Source organism: Homo sapiens, chromosome 11 (genome assembly GCF_000001405.40).
Source record: "Homo sapiens chromosome 11, GRCh38.p14 Primary Assembly".
In the NCBI taxonomy this organism is placed as follows: domain Eukaryota; kingdom Metazoa; phylum Chordata; class Mammalia; order Primates; family Hominidae; genus Homo; species Homo sapiens.
Window position 1 is genome coordinate 20,591,015 of NC_000011.10, and position 16,726 is coordinate 20,607,740.

A 16,726-nucleotide genomic window follows, 5' to 3' on the forward strand; every position below is an offset into this window, starting at 1 on the left:
AGTAATTGTTTACTACTTAAATTGTAGTATATTCATGCTATGAAAATCTATGCAGTAATTAAAAATGATGATGTAAATTTTATGGCAATGAAATGGAACTATATCAATAATATAAGTGAAAAAAGATTATAAAACAATATGAATAGCATGATCTCGATTTTGTAAAAACAAAAACTACGTCTCTATACATATGAAAGACTAGGAAGCTCTACACCAAAACATTAATAAGATACATTTTAGGCTAGATAGGAATGTGTATTTTTATGTTTTCTTGGGGGGAGTTTTTCCAACCTTTTCATATTAAGCCCATATTATTTTTATAATCAGAAATATAATACAAATGAAAACTAATAAAATACAAAAATATGGTTTAGCAAAGATAGTAAGATGGCATGTAAGAAACTAAGAGGCTATTCTGTGACTTTTTAAATCGTTTATTCAAAAATACTACTGCATATCAGTACAAGTTGGAAAGAGGCTTAAAAAATTCATACATTTCTGCCTTTGAAGCATTCACAATTTAGAACAGTATTGTCCAGTAGAATTTTCTGCAATTAACAGAAATGTTCTTTGTACTGTCTAATGTAAGTAGCTGTTGGGCACTAAGAATATAGTTAGTGTGAGTGAATAATACAATTTTGCATTTAATTTTATTTTAATTAATTAAAATAACAGTAGCCACACTTGGCTATTAGCTGTTGTAGTTGAAAAGATGCACATGGAAATAAATAATTACAATGCACTAGTGCTAGGGAAGCACAGAGAATGGAGATATTAACTTTTTTCATAAAAAACCTCCAAGAGGAGATACATGTTGGGCAAAGTCTTACGTATAGGTAGAAATTCATTCTAGAAGGAAGAGCATTGCAGGCAGAGGACACTGCAGTGGCAAAGGCATAGCGTTATGATGGGCTTGGCATTTTAAGGGAGGTGCAGTGTAAAGAGATAGAAAAAAGAACCCATTTGAAGAAAAGAAAAAAAAAACAGGCAAAGCTCATTTCCCATCAAGAAAGATGGGCAGAGGCCGGGCGCGGTGGCTCATGCCTGTAATCCCAGCATTTTGGGAGGCTGAGACGGGCGGATCACCAGGTCAGCAGATCGAGACCATCCTGGTTAACACAGTGAAACCCCGTCTCTACTAAAAATACAAAAAATTAGCTGGGCGTGATGGCGGGAGCCTGTAGTCCCAGCTACTCGGGAGGCTGAGGCAGGAGAATGGCGTGAACCAGGGAGGCGGAGCTTGCAGTGAGCTGAGATAGCGCCACTGCACTCCAGCCTGGGGGACAGAGCGAGACCCCGTCTCAAAAAAAAAAAAAAAAAAAAGATGGGCAGAATAAAGTCCTTAGAATGGCCCATTATTTTAAAAACCAAAGAAGAAAGATGGGCAAAATACATAAAGATTTGGTGAACAAATCCAGGAATATTAAGATGTGTAGAAAGGAGTCATCTGGGTACATCTCTAAGGGCATAGTGTCAGACTTCAGATAGTAACTTTCAACTCTGGTATCTCAAAGTAGAAGGAGCTCTTGCCAGGCACCATGCTAGAAGCTTTTATACACTTCATCTTATTTAATCAATCAAAGGAACTCCATTTTATTGAAAAGGAAAGTGAGGCTCTGCAGATAAGTAAATGTTAGTTAGCCACACGTTGGCTATTAGCTTCCCAAGAACACATAGTTAACAAATGGCTGAACTTGGTTCAAACTCTTGACTAATGTGTACTACTAAAGCCCTATTTTCACGATATAATGTTACCCTCCACCCAGAAAGATGTTTAAACTGAAATAGAAACACCCTGAAATAGAATGTAGATTCTAAGAGATTATTCTAAAAGATTTGTAGATCATTTCCAAGCTCTAATGGTGAAATTCCAAGGGACAACTACCATAATGATTAACTCTGGATTGTCTGCCAAAAATGGTAGGCATAGGTGGCCTCCTCCAGGCCGTTGTTTGAAATGGTCTTAGAAATCTGGATGCCACAGATTGCTAGAACCAACAGTTGCAAATGGGGTGCCAATGTCCATAGTCCCCTAGACCCAATTTACAAGGGTGCTACCCAGTGACAAAATCACAAGGTCCTAAAGCTTGTTAATGCTGTCTAGCAGTTCTGTACAGGTATAAATTCTCTTGAATTTTCCAAGTTCTGCTTCATGGATTAGCATCCTTACCATTGTACCTTTCTGAACCTTCTTCATGTTCCACCCAATAGCCTTGGTTAACTACATAAACTGCCTGTACAGTGAAGATTTCCAACATCTGTTTCATTCTACTTGTGGGAATTCCTGCTAGGTTTTCCTGACATTGAACTTAATTCCCCACCCCCCATTGCCCCACCAACTAGGACAAAAAAAGAAGACCAGGGAAACATTTAAGAAAGAGAAAAAAAGAGAATCTTATTCACCAACATTGCAGACACATTATCAATTCTCTTGTATTAGAAGTCTCCTATTTCCCATAATAAATATATTTGAGACCTTACAAGATCTGACCTCTTACAAGGCTAGTATCTCCCATTTTGGGGTTCGGGAACTTTCAGCAGATGGATAAACACAGAAGACTCATACCTGGAAGGAGATTACTGAGTAGTTTCACCAAAAATATGCAACAAGCAAAGCACGACTACCAAAAGGATAGCAGAGGAAAGGCAGCAGAGGAAAGGGGTGAATGCTTACTGGAAAGACATTAATGTTATCATTATGGAAGAATTAGAAATCAGGAATTTTCAATTTGGTGTAATTTTAATGTAAATTACTTTATAGTTTAGTGTACATTATAAGGATAAGGGTGGGGGTAGCAGAGCAGCATCATATTTTCCAAGACTGTGTCCTCTGAAGGTCTTAATTATGCCCTGGTTCCACCCCAGCAGAGCTAAGAGATAGAAACATGATGACCTGAGGAAGGAGGATTAGCCACATATTGGTAGCTGGGATCCTTAATTAACCGAATTCATTTTTCTGAGCTCTACTCTTCAGAGAAAGACAATAAAATAGGCGTAGGGGTAATACTTCCTAATGAAAGCCTCGGTGAATATTCTCATTAATTAAAGCAATAGATTCTAGTGCTGAATTCTTTCCTTTAAATTTTTTATACATATTTTACATAAATTTATAAGTATGACTAGTAGAACTATTTTTGTTTAAGTACAATCTTTGTCACCCTCCGTCCACTTTTTCTGCTTGGCTCTTCCCTCGTCTCCTGAGCTCACATCAATGCCCACATTGTCTACCAGTAATCTTACCTACTAACTTATGTGTGTGCGTCACATTTTACTAGAACACATACACACACACGCGCGCACACACACACACACAGACAGAAGAGAGAGGGAGAGACAGACAGACATGGCATTTTAGTTACTATTTATTTTATAAAAATAAGATTGTATTATACATACTTTAATGTATCTGGCTTTTCTCAATACATCATGAAAATCTCTCCAATCTCTGAATGGTTCTAATTCAATCTTTTTAACAGCTACAAATCATTCCACGCTGCAGATACTCTAATGATCTAATGTGGCTATTTCTTTTTTCCGCAGGCTTTCACTTTATCAACTATGCTATAATAAACACTCTTGCACTATGGTTTTTTATTTCTCTGGGATAGATTTCTAAGAGTGAGATTGCTGGGTCAAAGGATAATATAGTTCTTTTTTCTTTCTTTCTTTTTTAAAGAGATGCCACTAGAATTTGTTTCTAATTTGTCAAATGACCTTGAGTACTCACTTTTCCTCCCTGGACCTGGAACTCTGCTTTCTCACTGATAAGGCAGGCATGTGGAACTATAGATGACCTTGAACTCCTTTTCATCTTGTCATATACTTCTCTGCTTCTGCGCTAGCACCCACTGCCCTGTGTTTTGCTGCAGTGAAGTGAGAATCATCATTACTGCTGACTCAGGAACAAGCGTTCTGCCTGTCTGAGTCATGGAATTTTGGACCTGCATTTTGCACAGACTGATTATTTAGCTGAACCATTGATTTCCAAGTATGAGCTCTTCTGAAATGCTATGATGAGGGATGCTTGCTTTGATTAACTTGTGTTTCCCTGACACCCCTGGGTTCAGATGAGAACTGAACAGTGAGGCTGATTATGAAGCTCCAAGCTTCTGTCCTTTCTTTATACTGAAATTTACCTTCATATAAACAAAAAGTGCCTCAGGAAAAACTCATAGCAGCTTCTGTATTTGAGCACTTTTCCTGGATGCTCCTAATTTTCATTTAGTAAAGGTAAATACTTGATTATTGGGCGACCAAACACTGGATGAGGAGGGAAAATGTTGCACAATCATTACGTATTTTGTAAGGTTTTCTATTCTGCATAAGTCTACCCATATTAAACCTTCCGACCCAGGGAGAGGGATTTGTCTTATTTGCTAATTTTGAGAGGCTTCAAACATATGTTTCCTTTAGACTGAATAATATTGTTAACAATAGCTTATTGAAAGTATGCCGGGTAGCCAATCTCAATCTAGGCACTTCGCATGCGTTCTTTCGTTTAATCCTCAGGCCACCCTTGAGGTTAGGTTAATTTTTTTTTTTTTGAGACGGAGTCTCGCTGTCTCCCAGGCTGGAGTGCAATGGCGCCATCTTGGCTCACTGCAACCTCCGCCTCCCAGGTTCAAGCTGTTCTCCTGCCTCAGCCTCCTAAGTAGCTGGGACTACAGGTGCGTGCCACCATATTCAGCTAATTTTTTGTATTTTTAGTAGAGACGGGGTTTCACCATGTTAGCCAGGATGGTCTCGATCTCCTGATCTCATGATCCGCCTGTCTTGGCCTCCCAAAGTGCTAGGATTACAGGCGTGAGCCACTGCGCCGGCCGAGGTAGGTTAATTTTTATTATGCTCATTTTACTGATGGGGAATTTCCCCCAAGGTCACAGAGCTAGGAAGTGGTGCAGTGTGTCTGCAGAGCCCACATTCTTAGCACAGAACAACACTGCAATGGAGCTGGGCAGTAGTAGACAAGTGGGACAAAAATACGGCATGGCTTCTTGACTATCGGCCATGTCACCTGAAACCCACACTGAGCCCTCACATCCATCATCTATGGAAGTTGTAGGTGTTAACGACTCCCATGTTAAAATCACATAAACATAGACATAGGCGCTCATACTCTATCCCTCATGTGGTGGATGGAGAGGAGCCAACACAGACAGGGACTCAAAGCTAGGCTCTGCCCTCTGACCCTGGACACGTTCCTTCGCCTGTCAGTCGCACTGGCAGCTCTTTCTTGCATGCTGCCCTGAGGACCAGAGGAGGCTGGTGCCACAGTGCCCCGCTAACGCCAGAGCAATAGCTTGTAAAACACCGGTATCTTTCCCTCCTCTCTCCTTCCTTAGTGCAAAGGAGGGCAGCGACTTGAATGCGGTAGGCCGCCCTCTGGGCCCTCTCCTGTCTGGGTTGCAGCTGGCGTTTCGTGTCTTGGCAGTAACACTGGCGTCAGGACTGTCACCGGATGGCCTGTTTTTCAGAAGGCTACCCCCATACAACCGAGTGGACACGAGTTTTCAAAAATATTTATTTGCTTATCTGCAAGGCAGGAGAGGAGGGAACAAAGTGATCGAGGACAAAATCAATTACTATTTTTCATCTTTGACAAAGTAATTAAGGCCGTAGTGACTGGCTAATTCAGACCGAATGGCTGCGCGGTGATGGATGCGGATTTACGGCCTCCTTGGCTGCGGCGCGCTGGGCCTGATTATCACTATAAACAGGCGTCCGCGGAGGGCGGGGGCGGAGGCCCGCGTCTAGAGGACGTGCGGCTGGTCTTCTTCTTCTTCTTCTTCTTTTTTTTTGTTTTTGTTTTTTAATACTGCGGTTCCATCCTCTGCGCTTCGTAGGCGCTGACACACACCCATACGCACGACCTGCTGCCCCAGGGCCTGGCTTCCTGCCTCCGCATGCTCTCTCCCGCCCCTGAAGCCCAACCTTCAAGCCCTGCTGATGCCCGCCCCTCCGTCCCAGCGTTGGCCTCATAGCGAACCCTCTTAGGCCTCTCCGTTCCAGACCCTCCCTCCATTCTCCACGTAGCCCCTCCCTTCTAGAATCTTGCGGCTGAAAGTGGGGGCAGGCGGGGAGCCCGAATAGCGCCTCAGCCAAACCCCGCAGCCGTTCCTGCGCGTCACCCGCCTCTGCAGAGCCTGACGCGCGGCAGTCTCCACGCCGGAACCCAAGTGCTCACTGGGCCGGGGAGGGCCAGCGGGCGAAATATCAGGCCTGGGGGCTGAGCGGGGGCGCTGGGCGTCACTCAGGCCCAGGGCCGCAGCTGGGGGAAGTGAGAAGGCCGGCAGGATTCTGCCCACTCTGCGCAGTTCTCCCTTCCTCCCGGGGCAGCCAAGTCTGTGCGCCCTGGAACGTCCGGGCGCCGCGTAGACTCTCCATTCGCACCTGGCCCTTTGCGGGGGCTGCTCAAATGCAAATTGGGAAACTGGCCAGAACCTTCCAAAGTCGTGACTGTCCCTCGGGGAAGTCGGCCGGGGAACCGCAGAGGGAGGCCTACACCGATCTTTGGGCCCGCCTCGTGGTACCGCTCCGGCCGATCGCTCTCTGAGCCCGAGCCTGCCTGCCAGGCCTGCCTTCTACAGTTCTCGCATTCGTCTTGAGCCCTCTCGGAAACTGGGGACTGTTTAGGCAGAAACACTCGTAGGTCCCCTTGGCGTCCCCCAAGATGCCAAGAGCCTGCGGGGTGCTTCTCAGCGCCAGCCGGAACTTGAGCAGGCACCCCTGCGGAATTCTCAGTCCCACCCACTCAGACGACCCTCCTCCAGCCAGAGTCCACCACAGCCCACCCTACCCTCTTAACCCTCGTTCCCGACCTCTCCCTACGAGCGGGCCCCGGGGAGAGAGCGACTGACCCTAGCGACAGCCCGGCGGGAGGTGGTTGGGATCTTCTCCAGGGTTCAAAAGCGACTTTCTGAGCCCCAATTTCCTCAGCTTTGCAATTGGTATAGTTTCTGAAAGGCCATTGCTAAATCTAACCGAGATAATTCATGGATATCCCTTGCACAATGGTTGAGTATTGAGATCTCAATAGACGTTAGCTCAAAACTGCAATAAAAAGCGACCTGAAATCCTCAAGGCGTCTCAAAAGAAAGATCTCCTCCTCCTGCCCCCACCAAAGGCAATGCAGACCGTGTGTCCCCAGCCAGCTGCCCTTTAGAGGGGCTAGGCGGGAAAGCCAACCAGCGGAGGCATCCAAACACTCTCGGGCTCTCCAGAGGAGCAGGAGGGTGCCCCTTAGTGCCCCCGGCGCCCGCCGCAATCTGCCACTGCAGCCTACGCCTGCGGCCGCGGCCGCCGCGGCATTGTCCTCCCGCCGCGTGGGACGGCCCAGCCGCTGGCGACGGCGCGCACCCCGAGGCAGTGGGCTGGGCTGTTGGCAGTAGGGAAGGGAAAACGTGCTGTCTGTGGCTCCTCATCCCCGAGGCCAGGGGTTCCCCGAGCTAGACCGGCAAGGAAGGAGAGAAGGGAAGCATTTTGCTGATAATCCCCTTCTAGTCTCCAAACTACACCTTCTTTGTAAAGGCGTTTTTTCCTCTTCTGATTATAGCTATTGCATTGTACACACAACAAGAAAGTCCATCTTTTTATCGCCATGGCCACCCCCACTCCCATCCCCGCCACAGTACGGTTGAACATCCTGGCATGGCTTTGCAGATTGCCAGCTCTCATTCCCCCTCCCCCGCATTGCTGGGCATCCCGATTTGGACGGTCTCTAAGGTCCCGCGCTGCCAAATCAGGCCTGGCTCTTGTAGGATTTTATTGAAAGGACTGTAAAGAAAGAATGGGTTTCCCTTGACTTTGAAAGTGACCTAAGAACTAGGTCTGTGTTGGAAAAACTTCGTTTTTCTTTCTCTAAAACGTCTTCAGAAAAGCTTAAAAATACAATGAAAAAGGTCAGTTATACTCAGAATTTTCTCTTGATTGTGATAACAGAAATAGGAACGGAAATACCAGATCACAATTTTTAAGCAAAAACCCCAGGATTCCTCCAAGACTGACTGTCTGGAAGGGTAGGGATGTGAGAATCTGAAGTCCACATACATGCTAGGTAGGTACACCTTGATAAATGCAGGACCCATGCCTGCTTCAGTCATCGCAGAGCTGTGGGGCTATGCGCAGACCCTCAACCTCTTTCGGAGTAATATTTTCGGAATCCCTGAAGATAAGGGGGGACAGCAATGGAATCTAGTGAAAGGGAAAGAATAGACAGTGATTTAACCCCCTCCTTCCTCCTCTACAGCCCGATCCACTCTGTTGGCGGCTGCGCCTTGCCTTGGGTGCAGTGGGACGTGTCCCTCCCATGTTTCCCTTAATTAGGAGGAGGCAAACTTCTGTCTTCCCCTCCTGCCGGTTTCGGTTTAGTAATCAGACCACATGAGTCACGCCAAACACGCAGCCCCCTCCCGCTGGAGTGACAACTGGCCAGCATACTCTAGGCTGTTGTCCCTTTAAAACTTGAATCCAAGGGGGTAATGATTTATCAAACTTGTATTATCAAGAAAATGTCAAACCAAGGGCACCTTGCTTTGCACTGACGCAAACCCGGCCTTTCCCAAGGAGATATAGAAAGCGCCTCTCCTGCCTGAGCCAAACCCAGTCTTGTCAATAGCGGGTTTCACCCTCCACCAGTTCAGTCTGTTGCCTGTGTCAGACATGGTGAGTGTTTGCTTTTGTTCTTTCAAGAGGAAAGGGGGCTGAGGGGACAGGGAAAGCAGATTCGTTTTGGCTATTTCTTTTGGAGATGTCTGTGCATTGGGTGGGGGGAAAGGGGGCGACGAGGAGAACAATTCTCGCAGCCCTAGGTATTTGTACTTGTGAGCGTCACCTGAGGTCGCAAAGAGGTTTCCTAGGCTGTAGAGCTGAGAGGTTGGCTGTGGCTCCTAAAGACCCGATCCCGGGCACTGTCCTCGGTGCTGAAAAGCCAGATGCCGGTACAGAGGCGAGTTGCTCTGGGTCCTAGAGGCTACTGAGACAAATGCTGGCTGAAGCCGAGGTACCTAGATTTGTGCAAATCGAGGAGTTCTATTCTGCGTGTTTGTGAAAGGGGGTTAGACGAGAGGAGTGCGGTGGAGGCGAAGATAATAGGATTATTCTTACAGTGTAATAATAATTATTGGTGCTAATGTTTAGGAAGCCGTGAAAGATAACACGAGGGGAGAAAGTGGATAGAAAAACCACCGCTGGCAGTTCTTTTCATTTGAAAGTGAATTGGGAAAAAGCGAATAAAAATTAGTCATGAGTTTTGGTACTCAAGCAAGCTTAGAGTTGTGAAGGATATTAGACTCCTGTGAATAGTTACGCAAAAAAGAAGAAGAGGAAGAAGAAGAAGAAGAAGAAGAAGAAGAAGAAGAAGAAGAAGAAGAAGAAGAAGAAGAAGAAGAAGAAGAAGAAGACCTAAACAAAAGAACAAAAAGCTTTGCATATTCTTTTCCATGTCTGGGAATCTGGAAGTGAATACGAGTTGTGTAAGATAACAAATCTAGTTACTACTCTGTGTCTTAAATTTAGTTTATTATCGTTGTAGGTTTTTTTGTGGTTATTTTGATCGTGATTCTTAACCTTGTCTTTGCTACCTGGCGGGAGGAGGTGGGTTGTGGAGCGCTGGGACTCAACCAATTTGGCCTCAAGCGCTCGCAGGTGCCAGGGCATCAGCTTTGTGGCCACAGCTTGTCTATGGGGGAAAAAGGCAGTGTGCATTGTTGAATGACAAAGGAAATGGGGCGGAAAATTAAAGAATCTTTCTACAGTGGTGATGGGGATGCGGGCACCCACAGCTGTGATGTGGAATCCAAAGAGGGAGGGGAGCTCATGACTCCAGGGCTATTTCCATTCCCCCTTTACCCTTACAAAATTACATTTCTACCTCTTTTCTTAGTTCATCCTCCACTAGGGAGGGAATATTAGCTTCTTTTTGTCATCTGGTTATTGATGAAACGGGCAAATTGAGAAATACTGATTGCAGCCTTTCTTTTAAAAAAAGTTCAGATTCCAATTTGCTTCCCCAGATATTGTGTCTGGACCTGAGTTGCGAACGTCTCCATATCTAGATACAGGTATTTTAAAAGCTGTTGTGACTTTGTTTTGCACGAACTTGACATTGTGTTTGCAGGATTGCAGTGCTCCCAAGGAAATGAATAAACTGCCAGCCAACAGCCCGGAGGCGGCGGCGGCGCAGGGCCACCCGGATGGCCCATGCGCTCCCAGGACGAGCCCGGAGCAGGAGCTTCCCGCGGCTGCCGCCCCGCCGCCGCCACGTGTGCCCAGGTCCGCTTCCACCGGCGCCCAAACTTTCCAGTCAGCGGACGCGCGAGCCTGCGAGGCTGAGCGGCCAGGAGTGGGGTCTTGCAAACTCAGTAGCCCGCGGGCGCAGGCGGCCTCTGCAGCTCTGCGGGACTTGAGAGAGGCGCAAGGCGCGCAGGCCTCGCCCCCTCCCGGGAGCTCCGGGCCCGGCAACGCGCTGCACTGTAAGATCCCTTTTCTGCGAGGCCCGGAGGGGGATGCGAACGTGAGTGTGGGCAAGGGCACCCTGGAGCGGAACAATACCCCTGTTGTGGGCTGGGTGAACATGAGCCAGAGCACCGTGGTGCTGGCCACGGATGGAATCACGTCCGTGCTCCCGGGCAGCGTGGCCACCGTTGCCACCCAGGTAAGCAGGTTGCATTACGGCCCGCACAGTGTCCTGCTCTCCAGCTGCGCGAGAGAGGCCAGCCGGGCCGTGGCGGGTGCACGTATGCTGATGGGGAAACCGGTTGGCAGTGCCAGGTGATGGATGCGGGAGGCGGCTTTGGGGCTTCGGAAGCTCGCACTGCGCTGGGGTCGGCAGTTCAGGGCGCGAGGGCTGCAGTGACCCTGCCAGAGGGGCCACGACCTGCCCCTTCCCAGCCTTGGCGGTAGCGGGAATACAGGTCCAGATCCACGAAAGAGTTGAGGAAGATAGATTCCACCCTTTTATGCAGACAGACTCCCTCTCCTGCCAATGACTGTCTTTTCTTTTCAAAAATAATTTCTTAATTAAACAAAAAGAGGGTTAAAATTCAGAACAAAGCCACGTGGTGGTGGCTGGGGATGGAGGGGTAGGAGGATAATAGTTTAAGTTTTGTAGCCTTTACACTGCCAGTTACCTTTATTACATGAGAACTCATTTGATGCGAGGTGGGTTTACCTGAGGCTACTGAAGCTTTAGTTTTGGGGCCTGTCCTTTGCCTGGGTCCTTCCAAAACCTGGTGTCTACTTTTGCCATAATTTTCTATTTTTTTCCCTAAAGTAACCTCCCTCAATTGTATAAGCTTCAAGCCCCACCAATCTTAATCCCCTCTTGCATTTGATCCTTTACTACTTAATTAGAGGCGTGAAAAACCCACAGAGCAAATCCCAATCCTTGGGTTATGAATAAAGGCAGCTTTTGCTGGTGGCCCACTCTCTCATATAGGCTTTTGTTCTCTTCAATTTCCCTCTCGTCTCTCTCCTTCCTTCTCTGATCTCTTCTTTCTTCTGTCCTTTTTCATCAACTTCAGCTCTTCCCTTCTCACTGCCTGCCTTTCTGCTATTTCCTCTCCTTTCCTGGCCTCAGGGGCTATGCATATATCCAGCAGTGGGGCCTGGACCAAAATTTGTGCCTGTGTGAGGTTTAGGATTTATACAACCCTTCTATCCTTAGTCACTTTAGTGTTTGCACACACACACACACACATACACATTCACACTTATCCACAGGCCCACATAGCAGGAGCTTGTGGTGTCAGAACTAGAAATAAACATAGAATCTCCCACTTGCCTTTCCTTTCGGGGTCCACATCCGGAGTGTTTTTCTATGTATATTATCTGCCTCTGACAGCATGTATCCCACAGTGTGACCCCAGGTGGAGCAGAATATTTGTTTCACTTGTCTTGCTTAACCTCCGCACTGCGGCAGAAGGAGCTGGAACTCCCACCCTTTGCAGCCCTGGAAGGATTGAAGGGTGGGATTAGGAATGGAGGTGGTCTGTGTGTGGGAGGATTAGAGGGAGGATGTTAAAGATGTTTGGTTTCTGGAAGTACTTATTTTCAGCCCTGTCCATCTTTCTGATTGTGCCTTTCTGACACTCACCCTGGCCCTTTCTCTCTCCCTAAGACTTCTCCTGACAGCTGCTGCTGTGTCCTGCACACCCTGTAGAAAAGTATGAGACCTAGCAAGTTACTACAATAGGAGGTGAAGGGTGACTGAGAAGGTGGAAACTGTGTGTTGGCCTGAGTGCCTGGAAAGCTTTGTGCAGTGTCTAGGTGTCCTGAACATTTTCAGAGTTTATTTGGGGTGGTCTCCCCCCATTTTTCCTGCTTACTAGTGAGGCATTCCAGGACCAGGCACTGCCCCAAGAAAGCATCTTCGTGTGAGCTTGAAGAAATGAGCTTCAAAGATTCATAGACTGCTGGAGCTGGCAAGGGCTTCAGGGGACAGTCATTCTAAGCCTCTTTTACAGATGAGACACGGAGGTTCAGAGAGAGCAAGTGGCTTGCCTGGGGTTATCCAGCTGGTTAGTAGCAAAATTTAGACCAGAACTCAAGGTCGTAGATGGCTTGTCTCTTCCCATATCAACCTTTTTTGTTTGTTTGTTTTCCGTCTTGTTTCACCTTCAAATATCCCTCCTGCCCATCTCCCTTGCATTAGTCTTGAAGGATGCCTTCTTAAATTAGTTGACCAGGCAGGTTCTGGTTTGGTCAAGAAAGTAAGGCAGGGGCTCTGGCTGGCTTCGGCATTGCAGCTCTCTTTCTGGTCTTGGCACACACTCTAAAGGAAGAAATGGCTGAGGAGGAGGTGTGGTGAAGGTTTTTTTTTGTGGGAGAGGGTTAATTAGGAACCTGCTTGCTGGGAACTCCAGGCATGATGTTGGGGGAGCCTGCTTGCCAAATAAATTCTTGGTAAGGGGTTGGGGATGGAGGGACCTGCTTGCAATCACCTTACAGGTTCAAGGTTTGGGGAGAGCTGCTTGCTGGTGCGCCCTGACTGTATGATCTGGGAAAGAGGGGTTTTGGGTCTGTTTAAGATGGATCTTCAGATCAGAATTGAGGACCTGCTTGCTGATTGACTCTCAGTGCAGGGTTGAGGGGTGAGGTCCCTGCTTGTAGATGCATCCTTTCTTTAGATTTGGGGTCCTGCTTGCTGATGCATCCTCGGTTGAGAAGTGGGAGCCTGCTTGCTGGGAAGGACCCCTAGCGGGGGGGAGGGTGGAAGGGGCCTGCTTGTGGACCTACTCGGGGCTGTTATCGACAATGTGCTTTTCCGCCCCCAGGAGGACGAGCAAGGGGATGAGAATAAGGCCCGAGGGAACTGGTCCAGCAAACTGGACTTCATCCTGTCCATGGTGGGGTACGCAGTGGGGCTGGGCAATGTCTGGAGGTTTCCCTACCTGGCCTTCCAGAACGGGGGAGGTATGGCTTTTCCGCTCTTTCCGCCTGCGGCGGGGCGGGGCGGGCACCTGAGGGTTGGGTGGGACAGGAGCCCTCAGGCAGGGCCGCCGGGCGGGGAGGCTCAGGACAGCCTCCTTAGGCTCCAGCCCTACACCTCGTAGGCTTGAGTGCATAACCAGAGGGCGGGGGCGACCATAATCGATCGGCATTAGATCCCGGAGTATCTTATCTAGAGAGGGACACAGGGGAGGAGTGAGAACCCACAAACCCCCACTGACCCAGTTTTGGGGCCTGGGTCCTGAGCCACGTAAGCACGGGTGCTAGCGGTCAAGTGTTCAGAGAGCGGCGGCACTCCGGGCATCCAACGAGGTTAGAGCCAGCAGCTGTGCAGTCCTGGAGCCCTGATTCAGGATTATATCCTGTCTTCCTAGGGGACTCCTTAGGAGATCTAAGAGGTGAGGGGGAAGGGGTTGAGGCTGTGCTGTCAAAAACCTCTCAGAAGTGCCTGCCACCCCCGCCTTCTTCTGCTTCTTGAAGCAGAACATATTTTGATTTTAGTAAAATCTTACAGCGAAAACAAGTTTCTTTCATCTGCCCTAAATTGGGGGAAGGTGCTGCTGTTGAATGAAAGCCGTTTCAGAGGTGGGGAGGACACTAGTTAGGCTTGCATCGGCTGCTGGGCCACTATGCTCCCTTGTACCTCTTCTGTACCCACCGAGGAGGGACCTGGCACATTCACGATCCCTCTGGCCCTCCCAGCGTTTGGGTGCCGCGGGGCCGGCCGCTCTCTAGCAATAGGAATTTGAACCTAGAGCCCCGTCCCACATCTTCTCAACCGGACCGAAGGGACAAGCAATGCACTGCTTCACCCCATAGGTCAGGCAGTTTAAGGGTTTTTGTTCTTTTGTTTTTGTCTCTTGGGTCCGCTTCAGGCGGAATTTGTTGCAGCAGAACGGACAGGTGCTGCACCACCGGACGGTTAAAGCGCAAAACATAGGCCACTACTCCCGTCCTCTCCAGTTCCAAATTAGGACACTTTGACAAGTACTTATGAGGACCTCAGAGCATTTGCCATCGGGGGTGCCCTGAAAACAGACCAGGTACCGGCCACACGAATAGAGGCACCCAGATAGGTTCCCGTTTGGTTTTCCGCAGGGCGCCCTCAGGCCAGGATGCTACAACAGGGCTTCCAGTGACTAGAAGGGGAGTGGGTTATCAGGGTAGTGGATGGGGAGGGAGTTCCAGCAAAAGGAGGTTGGCCCGCGCAAGTGCCCGCGCTTTGCCCGCCCGGGATCTGCGAAGAGCGGCGGGGCAGATCTCAGGGTTCCGGAGGAGCCAGGCTCTGTGATGCGAGGCAGCCTGTTCCACACTGCGGCTCGAGGCCCCTCAGCCCTCAGTGCGGGGTGGAGGGCTCGCCGCTCCTTTTCAGGAGCAGAGGAGGACTGCACAATCCCTGTCTTGAGAGGATAAAGCAGGACCCCGGTTTTACTGCCCAGCAGCCGGCGGCTGCCCCTGGGCCTTCCTGGCTTGGAGAGCCCCGGGCAGGAAAGGCCCTGCCATCAAACAGGAAGTGCGGAGGGGCGGGAGCATGAAGAGTAGACTGGAGAAAGATCAGTTTTCCCTCCGCTGAGGCCAGTGTTCTGCGCTCGCGCATCTCCAGTGCCCACCTTGACTCTGGCCCATGCAGCAGCATGTTCTGGTCAAAACCTTTTCAAAAATCATGACCATTCCCCAAGTCCCTCCCAAACAACCTCAAAGAATGCTGAAGGGAAAGAACCCTAGAGAAGTCTCAGTGACTCTATGGAGGCCTGCCAAGTACTATTGCCCTAGACGGGGCATTTTGAGGAATAAAGAGATGCAGCGCAAACAACATTAGGGGCTCACAGGCTGAATAAGACACTTACATAAAAATTATCAAGTGATCGGTGCCTGGAGAAAGGTACTGTGGGAGGACTCAGAAGGGAGACTTCTTGGAGGAGGAAGCATTTGAGTTGACCTTGAAGGATGGAAGGAACTTCTCATATGGGGAAGGGCGTTGAGAAGTGTGTGATGGGGATGGAGATGGGTTTAGGAAGAAGGATGGGTATTCCCCAATGGCTGTCTGGCAGAGCCTGCCCAACCCTGGTTGGCAGAAGGTGTTCAGGTAACTTACTGTAGAGGAGGGCTCCTGGAGTTTAGCTTAGAAGATTTTGGGTCCTGGGAGGGCTGAGGCTCTGATAAGATTTCACCAACCTGAATCCAGTAGTGAGTCAAAGGCATGGACTGGTTGAGCTCTGGGAGGGCTTCATTTTGGGAAACTGAAGTGCTATAATAAAAAAAGAAAATAATAAAAACCCATCAGCACATATCCCTAGCCATCTGCCAGTGGAGAGTTGAAATAAGGAGTGTATTTGCATGGGTACCCTTATACTTTTTGGAGGAAGGCTCTTAAATATCTGTGGGTGACTGTTGCTGAAACAGGACATCAAAGGGCTTCTTCAGGAATGGAGCTAAATTGTCCTTTAGTTCTTTGAGAGGGAGCTCAGCCCCTAGCCCAGAGGGTTAAGGAGGGCAGCAGCCTGCTTTTGCCTCCTAGGGCTCTCACTCCCCACTCTCTTTCCAAGGTGCTTTCCTCATCCCTTACCTGATGATGCTGGCTCTGGCTGGATTACCCATCTTCTTCTTGGAGGTGTCGCTGGGCCAGTTTGCCAGCCAGGGACCAGTGTCTGTGTGGAAGGCCATCCCAGCTCTACAAGGTGAGTCCAGCCTGCCGCTCAGCCTCCTCAGGCCCTTTCTTACTCTGTCCCCTCTGGCACCATGCAGCCCCAGGGAGGGAGACCTGCCTTTGTGGTTAATAGAACTAACTCTTTCCTTCCTTTATTTGATCCTTCTGAATAATGGCCCAAGATCACCTCTGGCATTGTTGAGTTCCCAGCAGAATGCCTTCATATCCCTGGTAGACATACAGTCCACTCTGCTATTAGTGCATCCATTCTGTACAAGAGAGCCTAGACCTAGGTCCCCACCCTATGCCCAACTCTAAGAATTCCATAGCATTTAAGATGGAATGAACCCCTGGAATTTTTGCTTCTGCAGGCTGTGGCATCGCGATGCTGATCATCTCTGTCCTAATAGCCATATACTACAATGTGATTATTTGCTATACACTTTTCTACCTGTTTGCCTCCTTTGTGTCTGTACTACCCTGGGGCTCCTGCAACAACCCTTGGAATACGCCAGAATGCAAAGATAAAACCAAACTTTTATTAGGTAAGTTTGGAAATACCTGCTTTAGGTGTGTGTATTCTAAACTATCCATTTATTCAGCAAAATAATTGAACATATATTATGCATGCTA

The 16,726-nt window shown here is 48.5% G+C and overlaps 1 protein-coding gene across 4 annotated transcripts in view, besides 5 other annotated features; it reads left to right on the forward strand.

Annotated features, from left to right (window-relative positions):
• Window positions 2,392–2,561: an enhancer, noted in NCBI's record as "experimental_20054 CRE fragment used in MPRA reporter constructs". NCBI's record gives its function as "activates a minimal promoter by MPRAs in K562 erythroleukemia cells, with activity observed for the introgressed 11:20615037 variant allele {active_cell/tissue: K562}" and the evidence as "EXISTENCE:reporter gene assay evidence [ECO:0000049][PMID:34662402]".
• Window positions 8,594–16,726, forward strand: part of SLC6A5 (solute carrier family 6 member 5) — a 59,678-nt gene continuing 51,545 nt past the window's right edge. The window contains exons 1-5 of one of the 4 annotated variants that reach the window (NM_004211.5): window positions 8,594–8,661; window positions 10,115–10,651; window positions 13,272–13,410; window positions 15,993–16,124; window positions 16,465–16,638. In NM_004211.5, coding sequence (NP_004202.4) covers window positions 8,659–8,661; window positions 10,115–10,651; window positions 13,272–13,410; window positions 15,993–16,124; window positions 16,465–16,638 — 985 coding nt within the window. In that variant the 5' untranslated portion in view covers window positions 8,594–8,658. Of the gene's footprint in view, window positions 8,662–10,114; window positions 10,652–13,271; window positions 13,411–15,935; window positions 16,125–16,464; window positions 16,639–16,726 lie in introns of those variants that run through there. The other 3 variants (NM_001318369.2, XR_007062528.1, XM_017018544.3) reach the window with 3 other exon arrangements.
• Window positions 14,313–14,482: an enhancer, noted in NCBI's record as "experimental_20084 CRE fragment used in MPRA reporter constructs". NCBI's record gives its function as "activates a minimal promoter by MPRAs in K562 erythroleukemia cells, with activity observed for the non-introgressed 11:20626958 variant allele {active_cell/tissue: K562}" and the evidence as "EXISTENCE:reporter gene assay evidence [ECO:0000049][PMID:34662402]".
• Window positions 14,649–14,943: a silencer, noted in NCBI's record as "tiled region #9738; K562 Repressive non-DNase unmatched - State 20:ReprD". NCBI's record gives its function as "represses a minimal TATA promoter and a strong SV40 promoter by Sharpr-MPRA in K562 cells {active_cell/tissue: K562}" and the evidence as "EXISTENCE:reporter gene assay evidence [ECO:0000049][PMID:27701403]".
• Window positions 14,649–14,997: a biological region, named in NCBI's record as "Sharpr-MPRA regulatory region 9738".
• Window positions 14,828–14,997: an enhancer, noted in NCBI's record as "experimental_20091 CRE fragment used in MPRA reporter constructs". NCBI's record gives its function as "activates a minimal promoter by MPRAs in K562 erythroleukemia cells, with activity observed for both the introgressed and non-introgressed 11:20627473 variant alleles {active_cell/tissue: K562}" and the evidence as "EXISTENCE:reporter gene assay evidence [ECO:0000049][PMID:34662402]".